The 22,621-nt window shown below is 39.4% G+C and overlaps 1 protein-coding gene across 9 annotated transcripts in view, besides 1 other annotated feature; it reads right to left on the bottom strand.

The window, feature by feature from the left end:
• CD109 (CD109 molecule) overlaps positions 1 to 22,621 on the bottom strand; it is a 149,122-nt gene that overhangs the window by 105,134 nt on the left and 21,367 nt on the right. For 2 of the 9 annotated variants that reach the window (XM_047418216.1, XM_047418214.1), the window contains exon 1: positions 21 to 284. The exons of 6 other annotated variants lie outside the window; for them this stretch is intronic. The gene's annotated coding sequence lies outside the window, so the exon portion shown is untranslated. Of the gene's footprint in view, positions 1 to 20; positions 285 to 794; positions 1,026 to 22,621 lie in introns of those variants that run through there. One more of the 9 variants, XM_047418213.1, reaches the window with a different exon arrangement.
• Positions 228 to 428: a silencer, noted in NCBI's record as "peak5902 fragment used in MPRA reporter construct". NCBI's record gives its function as "represses an SCP1 promoter by STARR-seq MPRAs in K562 erythroleukemia cells {active_cell/tissue: K562}" and the evidence as "EXISTENCE:reporter gene assay evidence [ECO:0000049][PMID:32103011]".

The raw sequence follows: 22,621 nt of genomic DNA, 5'->3' as shown, positions 1-22,621 counted from the left end.
AACTCTCCCAATACTCTTACATGTGTAGGTGGAATCATAAATACATTTGGTGAAACCAAAATGACATTTAAATGCCCAGAAGACCCAAGAAATTATTACATATCTTTGTGCCAAACAATTAAAAATCAGGATTAAAAGGGTATCAGTGGGCAAACCCAAAAAACATTAGGTTCTGCTTCTCTTTGCCATTATCATTTTTGTTGTCGTTGTTGCTGCTGCCCTTGTTGCTATTTTAAGGTTATACGTGCTTGCGGGACACTTCACACGCTGTACAGAAGTAGTCTGAGGTTTATTTCTTGTCCTCATACCCTCGTGATAAAGGAAGAAAGGAAGGCATTAGTCATGTCAGGGGTGAGCTGGGACTCATAACTGACTCGTGAGTACTGGGGTGATGCAGACTTTTTTCGTGTAAAGTTTCTATACATAGGACTGCTAATTAAACTCATGCCAATTTCTCATCAGATCCATTTATTTCAAGGGGAAAAATGGTTTCATGTTAAAAATAAAAGAGAACTTGTCCAAAGTTCCTATCGAAGATGGCAGGCCCTTGGGAAATAAAATGGAGCAAAAGATGATTTTAAAGAGAGAGAAGGAAATAATAGGCCCCGTAAAAACTAGCACAATGTGCAAGACAGATGTGGTCCCTCTCCTCCAGGAAGCCAAATGGGTCTATCATGTGAGAGCAGAGGCACCAGAGCACAGCACAGTACACAGCAGGGGTTAAGCTAGCAGCATCTGGAATCAGACCACATCAAGAATTTGATATGTACTGGCCCTGTCCTTGAACAAATTACCTGATTCTCTAGCTCAATTTTTTTCATCCATAAGATGAGGATGCTAATAATCATATCAATCTCATGAGGTGGTTATAAGGAATACGTATGTTGATACCTGTAAAGCATATAGAACAGTGCGTGACACATAGAAAACACTTGAAATATGTTAGCTATTATAGTGTCAAAAAGCTTGAAGAGTTTTCCATTGAGGATGTCATATGCCCCTATAGACGTAGTCTTCAAATTTTTATGATAGAGTACTCCATCAATAAAAATACTTAGTATACCTTACCAATGTCAAATTAGATTTATAAAATTATATACATGTATTTTCTCAACCAAAATATTAAACATTAGAAAAACTTTATAGCCAGGCACAGTGGCTCACACCTATAATCCCAGCACTTTGGGAGACTGAGGCAGACAGAACACCTGAAGTCAGGAGTTAGAGACCAGCCTGGCCAACATGGCAAAACCCCATCTCCACTAAAAACTACAAAAATTAGCCAGGCATAGTGGCACGCCTGTAGTCCCAGCTACTTGGGAAGCTGAGGAAGGAGGATTGCTTGAACCCAGGAGGTGGAGGTTGCAGTGAGCTGAGATCACATCACTGCACTACAGCCTGGGCAACAGAGCAAGACTCTGTCTCAAAAATAAATAAATAAATCAATAAAAAGAAAAAGAGAAACACTTTAACTTCTTAGCTTTGCTTAATAAAATAATAGAAATAAAAATTACTGGCCGGGCGTGGGTGGCTCATGCCTGTAATCCCAGCACTTTGGGAGGCCGAGGCGGGTGGATCATGAGGTCAGGAGATTGAGACCATCCTGGCTAACATGGTGAAACCCCATCTCTACTAAAAATACCAAAAATTAGCCGGGTGTGGTGGCAGGCGCCTGTAGTCCTAGCTACTCGGGAGGCTGAGGCAGGAGAATGGTGTGAACCCAGGAGGCAGAGCTTGCAGCGAGCCAAGATCGTGCCACTGCACTCCAGCCTGGGCTACAGAGGGAGATACTGTCTCAAAAAAAAAAAAAAAAGAAATAAAAATTACTACATTTTCTACTTCCATCCTTATAAATGGTCTCATATACTCTTAGACGTGTGCACACTCACTTTGAAGACTACCACCCCAGTGGGCCTCCATGAAATACAAGTATGTTTTCAGGAACAGATAAGTAATTCATCACCATCACTTACCACCTAGCACAGATCAGTTCCTCTAATAACTGTTATCATAGGAAGCAAAGAGCAAGACTCTTAAATAACAGGATATTGAACATGGTGTTTCAAAAAGGTGAAGAAGGAAGTATCGTGGAACAGATATACATAGTACAGGTAGGACAAGGAGCACATTGGAGGGATGAAGGGAAGGCACCTAGAGAAAACGATGCCAGTGTCTAAGGTTGTAGGATATGGAGAAATTAGCCATATGAGCAAGGAGGGGTACAATGTTACAGGCAAAAGAGCAGCAAATGCAAAGCAGTGGAGATCAACCTGAGTCTACCAAACCAAAGAGCTGGGTGAGCAAAGACCACAGCCAGAAAGACAGCAGTAGCCAGGAGGCCTGGCCCAATCAAAAGGGGGTCTTTGGACAAGATGAGGCCTCACCAGGATTATCCCAGTTGACGCTGTTATTCCAGCATCCTGATTTAGCATTTGTCCTGGATCTTTTTTTGGTTAGCAAAATATTATTCTAGGATGGGTTTAATGTGCACATAAATTAACTCTGAAAATGTTTTATTCTTTTTTTAATTGACAAGTAATAATTGAATATATTTATGGTATGCGACATATAGATGATAGATGTATACCTTATGGAATGAGGTATAACTTATGGAATGGCTAAACCACACTATTTAACATGTGCCTTACCTCACATAACTACTTGTGGAAAGGAACAATTAAAATCTACTCTAAGCAATTTTTAAGTATACAATATGTTGATATTAACCATAGTCACCATGCTGTACACTAGATCTCTTGAAATTATTCCTCCCGTATAACTGAAATTTTGTGTCTATTGACCAACATCTCCCCATTCCTTTCACTTCTGGTAACTGCCATTTTACCCTTTGTTTCTATGAGTTCATCTTTTTTTACCTTCCACATATAAGTGAGATCATGCAATATTTGTTTTTCTGTGCTTGGCTTATTTCACTTAACATAATGTCCTCCAAGTTCATCCATGTCACTGAAAATGACAAGACCTCCTTCTTTTTACATTTTTTTTGTTAAAAAAAATGGCTGAATAGTGTTCCATTACGTATATATACCACACTTTCTTTATCCATTTATCCATTGATGGACACTGACATCGATTCCATATCTTAGATATTGGGAATAATGCTGCAGTGGATGTGGGGGTGCAGCTATCTCTTCAACATACTGATTTCATATCTTTGGATATACACCAGTTATACTTTGGGAGTATCTTACCTTGTAGGAAGAAACTTCTGTTCATTAAGCTTACTTTTAATGGGAAAGACTTATTATATTCTATACTGAATTGAAGTGAAATTGAAAAGCCCTAGGATATTTCAGCAAGTAAACTTGGTAAAACTTTCAAAGGAACCATAAATAGAGACAATTTACTGGACAAATTTTGTCCTGTAAAAACATTTGTTGAAGAGAAGCATGGGGCTCTGCAAGCAGACCCTGTGAAATATTTGGGCTGAAACATTTAAACATTGCAATACGGGGGTGTTGGGGGATGGAATTGAGAATACCATCCATGTAGCAGAATTTGTTCTGATCTCATCAGGTACCTGAGCATGTGTGGAGAGGGTGTTTTCTTAATTTAAAATATTATGGTCAGATCACTTGAATAATAAAATAAATAATGGGTTACAACCTACTGAATACAACAAGAATCTATGAGTTCATGCTGATGTACAATTAAATATATGACTGAGTGAAAGAGAAGAAAGAGTTATTCCTTACCACAGAATTCCAACTAATAAATGTAGAAGGAATCGTGGAATTCAAAAACTATCATGGAATTCACAACTATCACAAAAATAATGGCAATAATCATCAATCTAGCATGTATAGGCTAAATGAGAATTGTGAGAAATAATAAACCATTGTTGTTTTAATCTACTAAATCTGGGGGCGGCTTATTTCACAGCAACAGTTGACTGGAACACTTCAGAAATGAGCAAGATTAACTAGCAACTCTTTAAAGCTGCTCAGTCACATACAGGAGCCTCTAAATACATGTGGCTATTGAGCCACTGAAATAAGCAGCAAGTGTAAAATACACCCCATATTTCTGAGACTTACAACCAAAAAAATGTAAAATGTCATGTCAATAATTTTATAGTGATTAAATGCTGAACTAATAATACTTGTAAATTATTGGGTTAAATAAAATATATTATTACAATTAATTTCACCTGTTTCTCTTTCTTTTTTAGTGCGGCTACTAGAAAATTGCCAATAACTTATGTAGTTGACTTATACTTGTATTGGACAGAACTGGTCACGGGGATAGAAGACTTAAATTTGTGTTTAGCAACAATGAAACAACCAACAGATCAGACAGAATACAATTTTTTAGTTATATGAATAAAATAATAATAATAGTACATACCACTTACAGAGTGTTCTAAAGCATTACATACATTGAGTTTAAAGCTCACAACAATACTATTAAGTATTATTACCCTTATTTTACAAATGAGAACACTGAGACATAGACATGTGAAATGACTTTCCCAGGGTCACACAGACAAAAAGTAGTGGGGCCAAGCTTCTGACCCTAACCACCTGACTCATGGGCCTGAGCTCTAAACCACTGCTCTGCACTGACTCTGAATATAAAAAAAAAAAAAGTTGTATGCACATCAATCAATGTGATACATCATATCAACAGAATGAAGGGCAAAAACTACATGATCATTTCAATTGATAATTTAAAAAAATTTGATAAAATTCAGCACCTCTTCATGATAAAAACCCTCAAAAAAACTGCATATAGAAGGAACACACCTCAACATAAAAAAAGCCATATATGACAGACCCACAGCTAGTATGATACTAAATGGGGAAAAACTGAAAGCCTTTCCTCTAAGATCAGGAAGACGACAAGAATGCCCACTTTCACCACTGTTACTCAACATAGTACTGGAAGTCCTAGCTAGGGCAATCAGACAAGAGAAAGAAATGAAGGGCAGGCAAATTGGAAAGGAAGAAGTCAAATTATTTTTGTTCGCAGATGATATAATATTTTTAATTAATTTACTTTTTAAAGATAAATAGACACAGGGTCTCCCTATGTTGCCCAGGCTGGTCTCAGACTCCCAGGCTCAAGTGATCTGGCCCTCCTCCACCTCCCAAAGTGCTGGGATTACAGGCATGAGTCACCACGCCCAGCCAATATGATCTTATATTTGGAAAAACCTAAAGATGCCACCAAAACACGATTAGAACTGATAAACTCAGTCTAGTTGCAGGATACAAAATCAACATACAAGAATCAGTAGAAGCCAGGCGCGGTGGCTCACGCCTGTAATCCCAGCACTTTGGGAGGCCGAGGTGGGCGGATCACGAGGTCAGGAGATCGAGACCGTCCTGGTTAACACGGTGAAACCCCGTCTCTACTAAAAATACAAAAAATTAGCCGGGCGTGGTTGCAGGCGCCTGTAGTCCCAGCTACTTGGAAGTCTGAGGTAGGAGAATGCCCTGAACCCGGGAGGCGGAGTTTGCAGTGAGCCGAGATTGCGCCACTGCACTCCAGCCTGGGTGACAGAGCGAGACTCCATCTCAAAAAAAAAAAAAAAAAAAAAAAAAAGAATCAGTAGAATTTCTATATGCCAGCAGTGAACAATCTGAAAAAGAAATCAAGAAAGTAATCCCATTTACAATAGCAGCAAATAAAGTTAAATACCCAGGCATTAACTTGATCAAAGAAGTGAAAAATCTGTACAATGAAAAGTATAAAACACTGATGAAAAAAATTGAAGATGACACCAAAAAAATGAAAAGATATTCCATGTTCACGGATTGAAATTATCAATATTGTTAAAATGTCCATGCTGCCTAAAGCAATCTATAGATTTAATGCAATCTCTATCAAAATACCAATGGCATTCTTCACAGAAATAGAAAAAAAATCCTAAAATTTTTATGGAACCACCAAAGACCCAGAATAGCCAAAGCCATACTGAGAAAGAAAAAAAAAAAGGAGGAATCACATTACCTGACTTCAAATTATGCTACAGAGCTATAGTAACCAAAACAGTATGATATTGGCATAAAAACAGACACACGACCAATGGAACACAATAGAGAAGCCAGAAACAAATCCATACACCTACAGTGAACTCATTTTTGACAAAGGTGCCAAGAACATATATTGAGGAAAAGATAGTCTCTTCAATAAATGGTGCTAGGAAATCTGGATGTACATATGCAGAAGAATGAAACTAGACCCTGTCTCTCACCATACACTAAAATCAAATCAAAATGGATTAAAGACTTAAACCTAAAACCTAAAACTGTGAAACTACTAAAAGAAAACTTTGGAGGGACTCTCCAGGACACTGAACTGGGCAAAGATTTCTTGAGCAATATCCCACAAGCACAGGCAACCAAAGCAAAAATCGACAAATGGGATCACGTCAAGTTAAAAAGCTTCTGCGCAATAAAGGAAACAATCAACAAAATGAAGATACAACTCAGAATGAGAGAAAATCTTTGTAACTACTCATCTCACAAGGGATTAATAACCAAAACACATAAGGAACTCAAATAACTCTACAGGAAAAAATCTAATAATCCAATTAAAAATGGGAAAACGATCTGAATAGACATTTCTCGAAAGAAGACATACAAATGGCAAACAGGTATATGAAAAGGCCCTCTCAACACCATTGATCATTAGAGAAATGCAAATCAAAACTACAATGAGATATCATCTCGCCCCAGTTAAAATGGCTTTTATCCAAAAGACAGGCAGTAACAAATGCTGATGAGGATGTGGAGGAAAGGGAACCCTCATACACTGTTGATGGAAATGAAAATTAGCACAACCACTATGGAGAACAGTTTGGAGGTTCCTCATAAAACTAAAAATAGAGCTACCATACAATCTAGCAATCCCACTGCTGAGTATATACCCAAAAGAAAGGAAATCAGTATATCAAAGAGCTATCTGCACTCCCATGTTTGTTACACCACTGTTCATAATAGCTAAGATTTGGAAGCAACCTAAGTGTCCATCAACAAATGAATGGATAAAGAAAATGTGGTACATGTACACAATTAAGTACTACTCAGCCATAAAAATGAATGAGATCCTGTCATTTGCAACAACATGGATGGAACTGAAGGTCATTATGTTAAGTGAAATAACCCAAACACAGAAAGACAAACTTTGCATGTTCTCACTTATTTGTGGTAGCTAAAAATTAAAACAATTTAACTAATAATGGAGATAAGAGTGTAGAAGGATGGTTACCAGAGGCTAGGGAGAGTAGTGAAGGGTTAGGGAGCAAGTGAGGATGGTTAATGGGCACAAAAAATAGTTAGAAAAATGAATAAGACCTAGTATTTGATAGCACAACAGGAGGACTGTAGTCAATAACAATTTGATTGTACATTTTTAAATAACTAAAATAGTATAACTGGATTGTTTGTAACACAAAGGACAAATGCTTGAGGGAACGGATACCCCAGTTACTATGATGTGGTTGTTGACATTGCATGCCTGTTTCAAAGTATCTCATGTACCCTGTAAATATATACATCTTCTATGTATCCACAACAATTAAAAATTAAAAAAAGAATCAGTTGTATAGTTGGTTTTATTATACATACCTTTTTTTTTTTTTTTTTTGGAGACAGGGTCTCACTCTGTCACCCAGGCTGGAGTACAGTGGTGCAATCATAGCTCACTGCCACCCCAAACTCCTGGACTCAAGCGATCTTCCTGCCTCAGCCTCCCCAGTAACTAGGACTACAAGCACAGGCCACCATGCCTGGCTAATTTTTTTTACTTTTTTGTAGAAATGGGGGCTCATTATGTTGCCCAGGCTGCTCTCAAACTCCTAGGCTCGAGTGATCCTCCCACCTTGACTTCCCAAGGCCCTAGGATTACAGATGTGAGTCACCGTGCCTCATCACTGGTTTTTTGTTTGTTTTTGAGACAGAGTCTTGCTCTGTCACCCAGGCTGGAGTGCAGTGGCACGATCTCAGCTCACTGCAACCTCCACCTCCCGGGTTCAAGAGATTCTCATGCCTCAGCCTCCCATGTAGCTGGGACTACAGGCAAGCACCATCACAGCTGGCTAATTTTTTGTGTTTTTAGTAGAGACAGGGTTGTGCCATGTTGGCCAGGCTGGTCTCGAACTCCTGACCTCAAGTGATCTGCCCGCCTCAGCCTCCCAAAGTGCTGGGATTACAGGCGTGAGCCACTGGACCCAGCCTTGTGCCTCACCATTGTTTTCATTATACATATCTTTGATTATAGTAAAAGTTCCACTGCCTGTATAGCCTGTTTGTATATGTTGCTATCACCACTTCCTCAATCATGGATGTTCAAAATCTCAATCATCTTGAACTCTTTTCTCTCCTCAACTCTAAGTTTATCACTCACCAAAACCTGTGGATTCTTCTTCCATGAAGTTTCTCTTAGAAGAAACTTAGAGTTATACTCCAAGCACTGCAGTAGCGGAGCTAACTCTAAAATATTTTGTGTCATACAAGAACTCTGAAAAGGATATAAAAACGAAAGACTTTCCCAACTCATGTCAATTCTTCACACTACACAGTTTTGACATGTTTGAAGTTGATTCCAAGATCTGAAACATTCCTCTTCAAAGGAAAGTTAAACAGTAGCCAACTCTGAGACGGTAATTACAATGCAGGAGGTTTACTAAGGAGTATTCGGTGGATCAGCACCTGCAGAAGGGAAAGGGGGAAACTGCACTAGGGGAGAGAGCAGTGGGGCTGCAATGCAGGCTCCAAAGAGGCATCCACCAGGGCAGCTCAGAAGCAGTCAGGGCCAGTGAGAGTTGTCCTGAACTGGGGCGAAAGGGCCAGACCTTCATACCCCACGTCAATCAGTCACATAATACAGGCCATCCCCAGGAGGGAGGCCACCATGGGCAAGGCAATTCTCTAGCTGATACGATCATCAGAGACAACTGGCTCTGAAGGCAGTCGGGCACAACACTCCTAGCAGCTTTCGGGAAAAAGTCCTTCATCCCTAAAGAGCGATCTGGGCCCTAAAACACAGCATCCACCACAATGTCCCACATTGGAATAAAATAGAAACAAACTGCAGTGAGCTTCGCCCCAACAAACCAGCACCCTCCATTATTGAGAGTTACTTATTTTTCATTGTATTAAGATAAATCATCAGGGGTTGACTATTATGCTAGCTCCATAACTGGAGGAAGCAATGTGCTTCCTTCCTGCCCTGGTCTGATACCAGCTACCACCCACCGGCAGCAAATTTACAAAGATGAAGAACGACGGGGGAGGGGTGGTAATTTATTTTTATCCAATGACATCAGCAAGGAGAAAGTAAAAAAACAGTTGGGAGTCTACAATCCAAATGAGGCTCTCGGAGATTGACTAATTGGAGGCCAAGCATTCTGGCACTTCAAAACAAGCTAAACAGATTTGAAGTGCAGGAAATCTCATTTCATAGTAGAAGTGTTTTTTGTTTTGTCTTTTGTTTTTAATGCAGCTCTGAATGAAGTCAAATCTTTGAGGAATTCTCTCACCAGAGAGAAGTTGGACGAGCAGTTCAACTGCATGCCTGGGTCCTACTGCTCAGACACATGACCTTATCTGTTCACAGATGCAAGAAAGATACAGAGCTAGAAACAGAAGTCCTACCCAGGCCAGGTGTGGCAGCTCACGCCTATAATACCAGCACTTTGGGAGGGCTGAGGCAGAAGGATCCCTTGAGGCAAGGAGTTCAAGACCAGCCTGGGCAACATCGTGTGACCCCATCTCTATTAAAAAAAAAATAAAAATACAAAATACAAAGACTCTTCCCCAACGCTATGGTGTAGGGACAAAGATGTCCCACCCACCCCTATTTCTTGCTGGATCCAGGGAGCGACTCAGAGGATATGTGGACACATCCAATCTAAGGCCTACTCACTGGTCTCATGCGTCCTTAATAAAAAGTCGATTTTAAGTACTTGACATTTTTTTCTGCTGATCTTCCCTTTAAATTTACAAATACAGCTTGGAATTTCCTAGGCACTTATGAAGTCCTAGCATAGGACTTATTTGAAAGTTCTATTCATTTAGCAATAATTTACACAACCAAAACATAAAATCGGGGGCAGCGGGGAGGAGAGTGGGGGCAGCATAGATGAGAGAGGAATAATAATCTCTTTCTCTGCTGTTGCTAGGTTGAGAATTAAATAGATAGTATTTGCAAACTGTTGTGAACATTTTTCTCCCTTTTGGCGAGGCTCCATTCAGACACGGGAAATGGTCACCACCTCTTGAAACCCAGTATGGCACTCTTTTAAATCACTAACTAAAGACACACTCTGTTATGTAAGGTTCTTCTTAGTGTTTTTATAGATAACTTTATAAAACTCCAATCATTTCTGTGTATAACCAGAGACAATCAATCTGAAAACCCTTTCAGATGCTTTCTCCTTCCCAGGGCTGCTTAAGCAACTCAGAAGAAACCTTGTTTGAAGGCTTCGCATTTGGCACAGCCTGAGAACTGGCCATTTGATTTACAAATAGAGTCAAAGCTATTTTTAAATTGTGTAATAAGCATACACAAAAACTAACCTTTCCTTAACTTTTTAAACATACTCTGTAATACCATTATATGCTGCCTCTTCTGACATCTGTCCTCACCAAATAACTTTGGAAAATCATTGAAGGGAAGGAGTAGTGTGTAACCGGAAATCCAACTAGGTACAGAAATACTCTCTATGAAAAAAAAAGTGGATTTTCCACTAGATATATATATATGCCTGACTTAGTGTTTGCTGCTTAATTATTTTTGGCAGCCTTTTGCTACTCAGTCTTATGCAATAATAAATTTATTATCACTTTTTTAGCTGAAAATTTTGATCTCTTTATCAAGTTACTAAATTTTTTTCCTCATTCTTCAGCAGTTTCTTTGATCAACAGATAAGGTAAGAAATAAGGGTTTTCCCCCCACAAATTCATGGAAAACAAAACTTTAAAATACAATTTTTTTTTTTTTGAGACGGAGTCTCGCTTCGTTGCCCAGGCTGGAGTGCAGTGGCATGATCTCGGCTCACTACAACCTCCGCTTTCCAGGTTCAAGCAATCCTCCTGCCTCAGCCCCCCAGTAGCTGGGATTAGAGGCATGCGCCACCATACCCGGCTAATTTTTGTATAAAATACAATATTTTTTAGAGAGTGAAATAATAGACATTGGAGATTCATATGGCAGGGAGGTAAGGGATAAGAAATGACTTAATGGATACAACATACACTATTTGGCTGATGTTTATACTAAAAGCCCAGACTCCACCACTACCCAAAATATCCATGTAAGAAAACTGCACATGTACCCCCTAAATCTATAAAAATAAAATATTTTAAAAACTTAGGCCGGGCGCGGTGGCTCACGCCTGTAATCCCAGCACTTTGGGAGGCCGAGGCGGGCGGATCACGAGGTCAAGAGATCGAGACCATCCCGGCTAAAACGGTGAAACCCCGTCTCTACTAAAAATACAAAAAAAAAATTAGCCGGGCGTAGTGGCGGGCGCCTGTAGTCCCAGCTACTTGGGAGGCTGAGGCAGGAGAATGGCGTGAACCCGGGAGGCGGAGCTTGCAGTGAGCCGAGATCCCGCCACTGCACTCCAGCCTGGGCGACAGAGCGAGACTCCGTCTCAAAAAAAAAAAAAAAAACTTAAAGTACGATTTTAAAAATACAATGTTTCTGCTTCACAGTTTAATGTCACTTTAAGGCAAAAAAACTATTGGGTAAATTCAGTCTACACAGAAAACACAAGTATTCTGAGCAGAACAAAACCAAACAAAAAATCTCCTTTGGTCCCTTACATACTCCTTTTATATTTTTCTCTCTTATTTCCCTTTGCTTACAAATATCTTAATAAATTTGAGTTTCATAAACAAAGTTTTGTTCCATTGTCTAAAAAAAAGCAGGTTAAACACAAACATTGAGTAAAAAAAAAAGCAGGTCAAACACAAACCTACTAAAAGTAAAATAAATAAAATGGTACACTATAAAGCAAATGTTAGGTTAAGTACAAATGAAAAACCCAGAGTCAAGCAAGGTTCTTGGCTGCTAAATGTACAGGGCATTTTTAATGGCAGGGTCAGCAATCCACAGCCTACAGATCCAGTCTGGCCCACGCCTGTTTTTTGTACAGTTCATGAACTAAGAATGGGTTTGCATTTCTAAATAGCTGGGGGGAATATCAAAAGAAGAAGAATATTTCATGATAAGTAAAAATTATATGAACTCAAAATTTCAGCATCCATAAATAAAGTTCTGCTGGTACACAACCATGCTCTTTTGTTTATGAACCGTCTACAGCTGCTTCCGAGCTATAAAGGCAGAGTTGAGCAGCTGTAATAAAGACCTGAAGGTTGGCAAAACCTACATGCTTAACATCTGGCCCTTTACAGAAATTTTGCCGACCCCTGTGGCTCTCTTTAGGGAGATTTTCTTCTTCCTCAAGGGATAAGGGATAAGGGTGAAGATCTACCTAAGCCAAAATGAGTCATCAGCAGGGAGACTTGGACTCATGCCACAGGCTTGTGGTCAGGCATCAGTATTAATATCTGATACTGAGAAACACCAGGTACAACATAGTTAACATTCCCTCGGTGTCTTCTATGTACCAAGCATTGTGATAAATGTTTTAAAGATGTGCACTAAAAAAAAAATAGAAAAAATTGGGCAGTATGGCCATTTTCAAGATATTGATTCTTCCTACCCATGAGCATGGAATGTTCTTCCATTTGTTTGTGTCCTCCTTTATTTCGTTGAGCAGTGGTTTGTAGTTCTCCTTGAAGAGGTCCTTCACATCCCTTGTAAGTTGGATTCCTAGGTATTTTATTCTCTTTGAAGCAATTGTGAATGGGAGTTCACTCATGATTTGGCTCTCTGTTTGTCTGTTATTGGTGTATAAGAATGCTGGTGATTTTTGCACATTGATTTTGTATCCTGAGACTTTGCTGAAGTTGCTTATCAGCTTAAGGAGATTTTGGGCTGAGACAATGGGGTTTTCTAGATATACAATCATGTCATCTACAAACAGGGACAATTTGACTTCCTCTTTTCCTAATTGAATACCTTTTATTTCTTTCTCCTGCCTGATTGCCCTAGCCAGAACCTCCAACACTATGTTGAATAGGAGTGGTGAGAGAGGACATCCCTGTCTTGTGCCAGTTTTCAAAGGGAATGCTTCCAGTTTTTGCCCATTCAGTATGATATTGGCTGTGGGTTTGTCATGAATAGCTCTTATTATTTTTAGATATGTCCCATCAATACCTAATTTATTGAGAGTTTTTAGCATGAAGCGCTGTTGAATTTTGTCAAAGGCCTTTTCTGCATCTGTTGAGATAATCATGTGGTTTTTGTCTTTGGTTCTGTTTATATGCTGGATTACGTTTATTGATTTTCATATGTTGAACCAGCCTTGCATCCCAGGGATGAAGCCCACTTGATCATGGTGGATAAGCTTTTTGATGTGCTGCTGGATTTGGTTTGCCGGTATTTTATTGAAGATTTTTGCATCGATGTTCATCAGGGATATTGGCCTAAAATTCTCTTTTTTTGTTGTGTCTCTGCCAGGCTTTGGTATCAGGAAAATGGCCATACTGCCCAAGGTAATTTATAGATTCAATGCCATCCCCATCAAGCTACCAATGACTTTCTTCACAGAACTGGAAAAAACTACTTTAAAGTTCATACGGAACCAAAAAACAACTCACATTGCCAAGTCAATCCTAAGCCAAAAGAACAAAGCTGGAGGCATCATGCTACCTGACTTCAAACTATACTACGAGGCTACAGTAACCAAAACAGCATGGTACTGGTACCAAAACAGAGATATAGACCAATGGAACACAATAGAGCCCTCAGAAATAATGCCACACATCTACAACTATCTGATCTTTGACAAACCTGACACAAACAAGAAATGGGGAAAGGATTCCCTATTTAATAAATGGTGCTGGGAAAACTGGCTAGCCATATGTAGAAAGCTGAAACTGGATCCCTTCCTTACACCTTATACAAAAATTAATTCAAGATGGATTAAAGACTTAAATGTTAGACCTAAAACCATAAAAACCCTAGAAGAAAACCTAGGCAATACCATTCAGGACACAGGCATGGGGAAGGACTTCATGTCTAAAACACCAAAAGCAATAGCAACAAAAGCCAAAATTGACAAATGGGATCTAATTAAACTAAAGAGCTTCTGCACAGCAAAAGAAACTACCATCAGAGTGAACAGGCAGCCTACAGAATGGGAGAACATTTTTGCAACCTACTCATCTGACAAAGGGCTAATATCCAGAATCTACAAAGAAGTCAAACAAATTTACAAGAAAAAAAACAAACAACCCCATCAACAAGTGGGCAAAGGATATGAACACACACTTCTCAAAAGAAGACATTTGTGCAGCCAAAAAACACATGGAAAAATGCTCATCATCACTGGCCATCAGAGAAATGCAAATCAAAACCACAATGAGATACCATCTCACACCAGTTAGAATGGCGATCATTAAAAAGTCAGGAAACAACAGGTACTGGAGAGGATGTGGAGAAATAGGAACACTTTTACACTGTTGGTGGGACTGTAAACTAGTTCAACCATTGTGGAAGACAGGGTGGTGATTCCTCAGGGATCTATAACTAGAAATACCATTTGACCCAGCCATCCCATTACTGGGTATATACCCAAAGGACTATAAATCATGCTGCTATAAAGACACATGCACACGTATGTTTATTGAGGCATTATTCACAATAGCAAAGACTTGGAACCAACCCAAATGTCCAACAACAACAGACTGGATTAAGAAATTGTGGCACATATACACCATGGAATACAATGCAGCCATAAAAAATGATGAGTTCATGTCCTTTGTAGGGACATGGATGAAGCTGGAAACCATCATTCTCAGCAAACTATCGCAAGGACAAAAAACCAAACACCGCATGTTCTCACTCATAGGTGGGAATTGAACAATGAGAACACTTGGACACAGGACGGGGAACATCACACACCGGGGCCTGTCGTGGGATGGGGGAAGGGGGAAGGGATAGTATTAGGAGATACACCTAATGTAAGTGACGCGTTAATGGGTGCAGCACACCAACATGGCACATGTATACATATGTAACAAACCTGCATGTTGTGCACATGTACCCTAGGACATAAAGTATAATAAATATATATATATATATATATATATATATATATATATATATATATATAAAGATAACAATTTTAAATCAAAGTTCTTAACTGCATAATAAAAGAGAAAATAATAACTAATATTTATTAAATTAGGTGTCTTTTATGTGCCAAAAAAAGAAAAAATTGGGTGACATTACTTTTAATAACATATTTTATTTAACTCAATATGTCCAAAATATTAACATTGAACATGAAATCATTATTTTAAAATCATAAGTTTTATTGCATTTCTTGGAACTAAGTATTCAAAATCCATTATGTATTTTATACTCCTGGCACATCTCAATTTGTATGAGCCACATTTCAAGTGCTCAAAAACCACATGTGGTTAGTAGCTACCATATTGGATGATACAGCTCTTAAGTATTATCTCATTTAATCCTCTCAACAATGCTACGAGGTGGGTACTACTATTAGGTGATGCTAGGGTTCAATTTCAGTGTGGTTCCTGAGCACCCATTCTAACCCACTGTGCCTCCCAAACAGTGCAGGACAGACCCAGCTATTCCTTCCAAAACAGTAGTGCAAACATAACCTCATATCCCTTCCCTCCTTGTTCCTCCTCTGTAGCTTACTCCACTCTCATTTACTATTTGGATACACCCACTCTTTCGTCTGTTCTCTCTTATCCATGTTGTTACTACCTCAAGCCCCTATGTAGCTACGTAGATAACCGTTCCTCTTAGACCATTCCTCTTCAACTGATCCATAAATAAAGTTTATGGATGGGCTACAGAATCCTTCGCAGCATTCATACCACACTCCCCAACTCCCATGGCCATGGCAGACACAGCTAATTCATCCAGTTCTCTAGTCCAGTAAACCCACGCTTGACTTTGAAACTGTCAACACGGCACCCGAACAAGCCTCTATAATCAACGTGGGAGGACACATCAAATGAAGCCTACTCTGCTTCCCTGCGAAGAGCACAGGCACAGGAACCTCATGTGGTCACCAAATATTTATGTCACCCAGCATTGTGCCATAGGCAATTTGGTGCTGAATAAATTTGAATTGCTCAGAATAATAAATTCCCTGTCTTATCTATATTCCTGAGGAGCTTTAACATATATTGCAGTGAAACTTAAGTTTGTAATACTAAATCATTTCTGCCAGCTATATTTTCATAAATGTAAATTCCTAACACAGCCCTGCCAAAAGGGAGCTACTAGGTGTTCTTTAAAAATTTTCCTCTTCATTTATTTCCAAGCTCTTTACCAGTCTGGTTTTCGGATTTTAATTTATGAATCGTTTCTTCAGAACTAACAACCTATAGACCTGTCATCTACCTACCTACTGCTACCCCCTCCACCAAATCTTTGACCAATTTCACCCTGAGCCTTGCAACGGAAGAAAGTCTCCTCATAGAATTCTCCGAGGTAAGTGAAGAGTGAAAGAGATAGAGCAAGACCAAGATCCACTTTAATCCTCCTAGACAAGTTTTATCATTGCACCTTGGTCATCTTGGCCCACACTAAGAGTGAATTACAAATTCACTGACAACCATGGCAGTAATAAAGTAACTCCACCCAGTCCTCTCGAGCTTCAACTGAGGCATATCTTCATCGTAAACAGCCCTTTCCTCTTCTCTCTCCTCCCTGTGTTAGCTCTCCCAGATACAAATATGACTTCCTGCCCCTGTATTCTAATTTCCTACAATCCAGCGGTGACCCAGTTTAGGGCACCACCAGGGAAGATCTCCAGTCCTGTGTTTCTCATTCTGGTCTGCCACTACTTTTAACTTTTACCCCCATTTCCTATAAAGTGGTGGCCAGATCTGTGCAATTTACAAGTCGGTAAATAAGTTTTCCTAAAACTGTATTTCAATTTTATTCTTCATCTCAATTTCATACCTCAAAATATTTCTTTCCTTAATGATTCTCTTCTATTTCTTTCTTTCTTCAAAGAAGAAAGTATGAGGGTTTTTTAAGGATAATCCACTTGCCTCTGCCCCAATACTGATCTCACCACTTCTAACCCAGGAATTATCCACCCTCTCCTTTGCCTTAACCACTTTCACCTTTCTAATGTGCCTTTTGAGAGACCGTCCACCTCTCTCCTTTCAACTACCAAACTTCTGGAAAGAATAAATTTTGATTATATTTTTCACCATCCATTTATTCCCTCAAATTTGCTTTTGCTTCCAACATTCAACTTAAAGCCATTTACTTAAGCGTCACCAATGTTCTTTCCTCTGTCCTCCTCTTCTCTGACCTGAGAGAATTGATTATTAACTATTAAACCTTCCTTCTTGGAACTTCTTCTTCCCTTGGCTTCTGAGACATTTTCAATTTACCCTTCTCTGATTGCTCGTTGTCTATTCTATTCTTTTCTTTTCTTTTCTTTTCTTTTCTTTTTCTTGAGACAGGGCCATGCTTTGTTACCCAGGCTAGAGTACAACGGCACTATAACTGTAGCTCAAGAAATCCTCCTGCCTGAGCCTCCTGAGTAGCTGGGACTACAAGCACATGTCACCACGTCCAGCTACCTTTTTTTTATTTTTAGTAGAGATGAGGTTCCAATATGTTGTCCAGGCTGATTTCAAACTCTTGAGCTCAAGCGATCTGCTCACCTCAGCCTCCCAAGTTGCTGGGATTACAGGCATGAGCCACTGTGTCTGGTCTTTTTCCCTTCATTAACTTATTTTCCTCTTTCCAAGCTTCTCTCAAAAGACTTGTTCTTTCCATGAGCTCTGTCTCTCTTGTGCATCTTATGTATTTCCAGGACTTCAAAATATTGTCTGCCTCTATGAAAATAATGCCTAAATCTCTCTCCCCAGCTGCAATTTCAAAACTATCTGCTGGACATCTCCACCTGGATGTCTCCCCAAACTCATATCCAAAGCAGAATGAAACATCTTTTTAGAAAATATATACACAAACCCCTATCTCCTTTTCATAACTGCCACACCAGCCAGCAGCTCTTTCCTCCGGCACACCCTTCCCGTCTCTAGTACGTGAAGTAACTGTTCCCTCCAAAGGCCAAATATGTCAGCAGAGGTGGGACATTTATGAATGGACATCTGTATAGCTCTGGAAGTAAAAGATAATAGTACCAGGCACAGGCTCACATACAAGAAGCACTATTTACAAACCGCATTGTATTTTTTATACAAAAAATAAAAACTCCTCTAGCCTTCTGCACTTTTAATATTATATTATCCTTCTGGGACCTCTGAATGTCCTCCAGTGCCTTCCTTTCTCTTATTCCCCACTCCCCATTCATTCATGTTTCACATACAGCAAATAATCAATAAATAATACATTAATGAGAAGAAATGTCTGTGGGGAAACAACTAGTTTCAGCATTATAAAGCCCTCTTCACAGGACATAAAGGATCAACAGTAACCCAGCCCAAATTCTTATGGGATCTGTTTTCTATTTCCACCACAATCCTTCAGTGAGTCACTAGGACAGTGACTCATCCAGTGCTAGAAGAGGAGCAGCACATGTTTAACTTGGAGTTTAAAGAATCAGTGTGTTCACTTTTAACTTCACCCAATCGTTGATTCACAATCAAACCCCAAGTCATGTTTCTCTGCGGCTGAAAATGAACACCAGCGCTTAGGGTTGAGGGTTGCTTAAAAGCAAACATGAAAGTCCACGAGGAGCCTTCCCTCCGCCGCCATGAATCATCACAGGCTTGCAGGGGCATGCTACTCACCCTCGAGCTTTCCAGTATTTGGTCGAGTACAATTTGTGAGATACCAAAGGGCAGTTGTTCTCATTCTAATGTGACTAAGAATCACCTGTGGTCATGGTGGAACATAAAGGTTAGATTCTCTTTTTTTTTTTTTTTTTGAGATGGAGTCTTGCTCTGTCACCCAGGCTGGAGTGCACTGGTACAATCTCACTGCAGCCTCTGCCTCCTGGGTTCAAGCGATTCTCCTGCCTCAGCCTCCCAAGTAACTGGGACTATAGGCGCCCACCACCACACCTGGCTAATTTTTGTGTTTTTGGTAGAGACGGGGTTTCACCATGTTGGCCAGGCTGGTCTCGAACTTCTGGCCTCAAGTGATCCACCTACCTTGGCTTCCCAAAGTGCTGGGATTATAGGCGTGAGCCACCACACCCAGCTGAGATTCTTGATTCTTACCCATGTCTTGAGGGAGGCCATGAATCAGCCTTTTTAATAAATACAATTTGGACTCTGAGAAACAAAGCAACAGAATTTAGTTTTTAAAAGGTCTATGAAGCTTCTAACCCAGCCCCCACCCCTTATACAGAACAAATAGTGCATAAAGAGCAACTCCACCTTGAGCTAAAATAAGAAACTTTCACAGTATGCAAGTAAGCATTTTTAAACTCCTTAGTTAGCCTTATTTTCTTCCATATCAGAAGAATCAGCATTTGTAAATATATCTTAGGTCTTAAGCTCAGCTCTCCATATGTTAGGAAACTTTCGTAGAGTATACTGGAAATAGCACTGGACTGCAAATTTGGGAAACTGCAATCTGTTTCCAGCTCTGCCACCAATAAGTGATTTGACCTTGGGAAAATCCCCAGATCCCATGCCTCACCTCAGTCTCCCAGCCATATATTAGGCTATTGAATTTGCTTATCTTTGAGGTCCCCTCCAGCTCCAAAACTCTATGAGGCTGAAAGTAAATTAAGAGGAGAGCTGGCATTTCATTTTGTAATTCTTTCGATTCAAATTAGATTTCATTAGATCCAGGTCTATCTACTGCAAGCAAATGTGAAAATGATTTTAGTGGAAGACAACTGCAACATTGCATCAATATCCCAAAATCAAGGAAATAAAAATACTTCACTCTCTTCCCAGCAATAGAAAACCTTATGGTCTCTGGACCTCAGATACAACTAACTTCAAATTCAGGCTTCACCATTTACTAACTGGGTTAACTCAGAAAAACTAATTCTTCTCTCTTTGCCTCAATTTCCTCACCTCCAAAATGAAGACAAGAGTATCTACTTCATCAAGTTGTTAAAATTAAATATAGTGCATAAAGTCCTTGGCACTATGAGGAAACTGGATATTTAATATGTTAAATCCCTTCCAATCCCCTCCTAGGGATGTGTCTTTTATAGAGTTCCCGGTTCAAGATTGTCACAATAGGTGATTAATAATTGCCTTTGACATAAACTGTTGCTACTCTCTTCTAGTAACAATAGCTACCATTTTCTTGAATAATTCCTTTGTGTTAAGTGCCTTGAATATGTTACCTCATTTAATCCTCACAATATCCATATAATTGTATAAGGCAGAAACCACTATTTTTCAGATGATGAAACTGAAGCCTAGTGAGATCATGACTGCCCACAGCCACACAACCACTAAGTGGAATGGCCAGCACCTGTGCCCAGGTAGCCAGGCTCCAGAGCCCAGGCACATCGTGATTATGCTGTGGTCCTTTATTCTCAGGTACCACCTACCTGTTAATATACATCACACACAAGAACAAAGACGATGTGTGAATGAAAAGCCTACACCCTTTAAAAATAATTCTAACATAACTGCAGGTTCAGACTGAGTTATGTTGGCAAAGCTGCCTGTGAAAACCTGCTCTGGGAGATCTGCCCACACACTACACTAATTAATCTACTTTCATAAAGACCATGGGACTGATTTTTATCTACGAGGCATGAAATGCATGTTCAGGAGCTTTGTTTCCACCAGAAAACCATCCAAACCAAATTGGATGATTTTTTAAGTTTTTCAGCTAATATCTCAATTTTTAAAAATTTCCCACCCTTACTGAGCCAAGATGGAAAATAAAATATATCATAGTCAATGTGAGAAAGACAACAAAGGAAAAAATAGATTTTTTAAAAAATCTTTAAAAAAAGGTTAACACTCCATTAACTCTCCAGGATTTTAGGGCAAAAAGAAAAAGCGAGTTACAGACACATTTATAGAGCACATTCCACCCCAGTAACTCAATGGGAAGATGGAAGTAGGATTGGCAGCATTTAAAAAATGGTGCCCCCAAACCAGCAGGCACTCACCTGGAGACGCCCATGCAGAGTTCCCAAAATTTCAGTAGGCATTTTCAGTTTAGGTTTTTGGGAGTTTTTGGTTTTAAGGGTTCTTTTGTTTTTGTTTTTGAGATAGAATTTCACTGTGTTGTCCAGGCTGGTCTCAAACTCCTGGGCTCAAGCAATCCTCCCACCTCAGCCTCCCAAGCTCTGGGATTACGGTTGTGAGCCACTGCACTCAGCCTCTAGCATTTTTTCTTAAATCAGGTTTACATGAAACTAATGATGATGAATTCATTAATGAGGGAGAAAGGTTATATTCTTTATTACTTGAAGTGACTCTTGTTCAGGAAAACTACTGAAAGTTTACAAATGAAAATGTCAAATTGTAGCAAGAGAAGGGAAAATAAAACAGAAATTATGGTTTCAAGGACATCACGAAAATTAAATTATTTTATATGCCTTAACAGATGAGAGGACAGTTCTCAAAATGTTCTTAATTTCTTTTTTCTTGATTTGGCAAGGAACTCCTTTCACAGTAAGGAAAGAGAAAAAAAATATGGGAAGAGACAAAGGGACAGACTCACTCTCCACCCAAAACAGTAATCTGACTTGATTTTAAATGCCAATAGCTGTGCCATCTTCTTTCCTCTGGTAATTATTACCTGCTGAACTTTTACTACGTTTTGCCAGTTATGTTTATTTAACTAACTCTTTATGCAAAGGAAGATAAGATTAGGAACATAGTTCTAATCACTATGGAGCTGATGGCAATGATGCTGATAGTGGTAGAGGCAGTGACAGTGGTAACAGTGACAAGCAATCTTTTGAATCTCACTACTAGAAAGGCATTGATACACCTTCCCAGAACTCTGCAAAGTGTAGCAGAAATACTTTTTCTAAAGGTCTATTATTCACCAAAAAAAAAAAAAAAGCCCATAATCGCTGGGCACGGTGGCTCACGCCTATAATCCTAGCACTTTGGGAGGCCGAGGCAGGCAGGTCACGAGGTCAGGAGTTCAAGACCAACCTGGCTAACACAGTGAAACCTCGTCTCTACTAAAAATACAAAAAATTAGCCAGGCATGGTGGCACATGCCTGTAGTCCCAGTTACTCGGAAGGCTGAGGCAGGAGAATCGCTTGAACCAGGGAGGCAGAGGTTGCAGTGAGCCGAGATCGCACCACTGCACTCCAGCCTGGGTGACAGAGTGAGACTGTGTCTCAAAAAAAAAAAAAAAAAAAAAAAAAAAAACTACAATCAATCCCCAATAAATGTAGAATTAATGTATTTTTAAATGAATAACAGTAATATAACCTACACTCCTGGCCATAAAAGTGGAAATGTAAATAAAATCTCCCCCATATCTGTCAAACAAACAAATGAACTCTTCCCTGAAGAAATGCCATACTTTTTCACCTTTATTAAATACATTCTCCATTTGAACAATTTAGTTATTACTATTTCCAACACAAATTGAGCCAGA

The sequence above is a fragment of the Homo sapiens genome, chromosome 6 (genome assembly GCF_000001405.40).
Source record: "Homo sapiens chromosome 6, GRCh38.p14 Primary Assembly".
NCBI lineage: Eukaryota > Metazoa > Chordata > Mammalia > Primates > Hominidae > Homo > Homo sapiens.
Note: the sequence above shows the minus strand (reverse complement) of the source record. Positions and strands in the feature narration are given on the sequence as shown.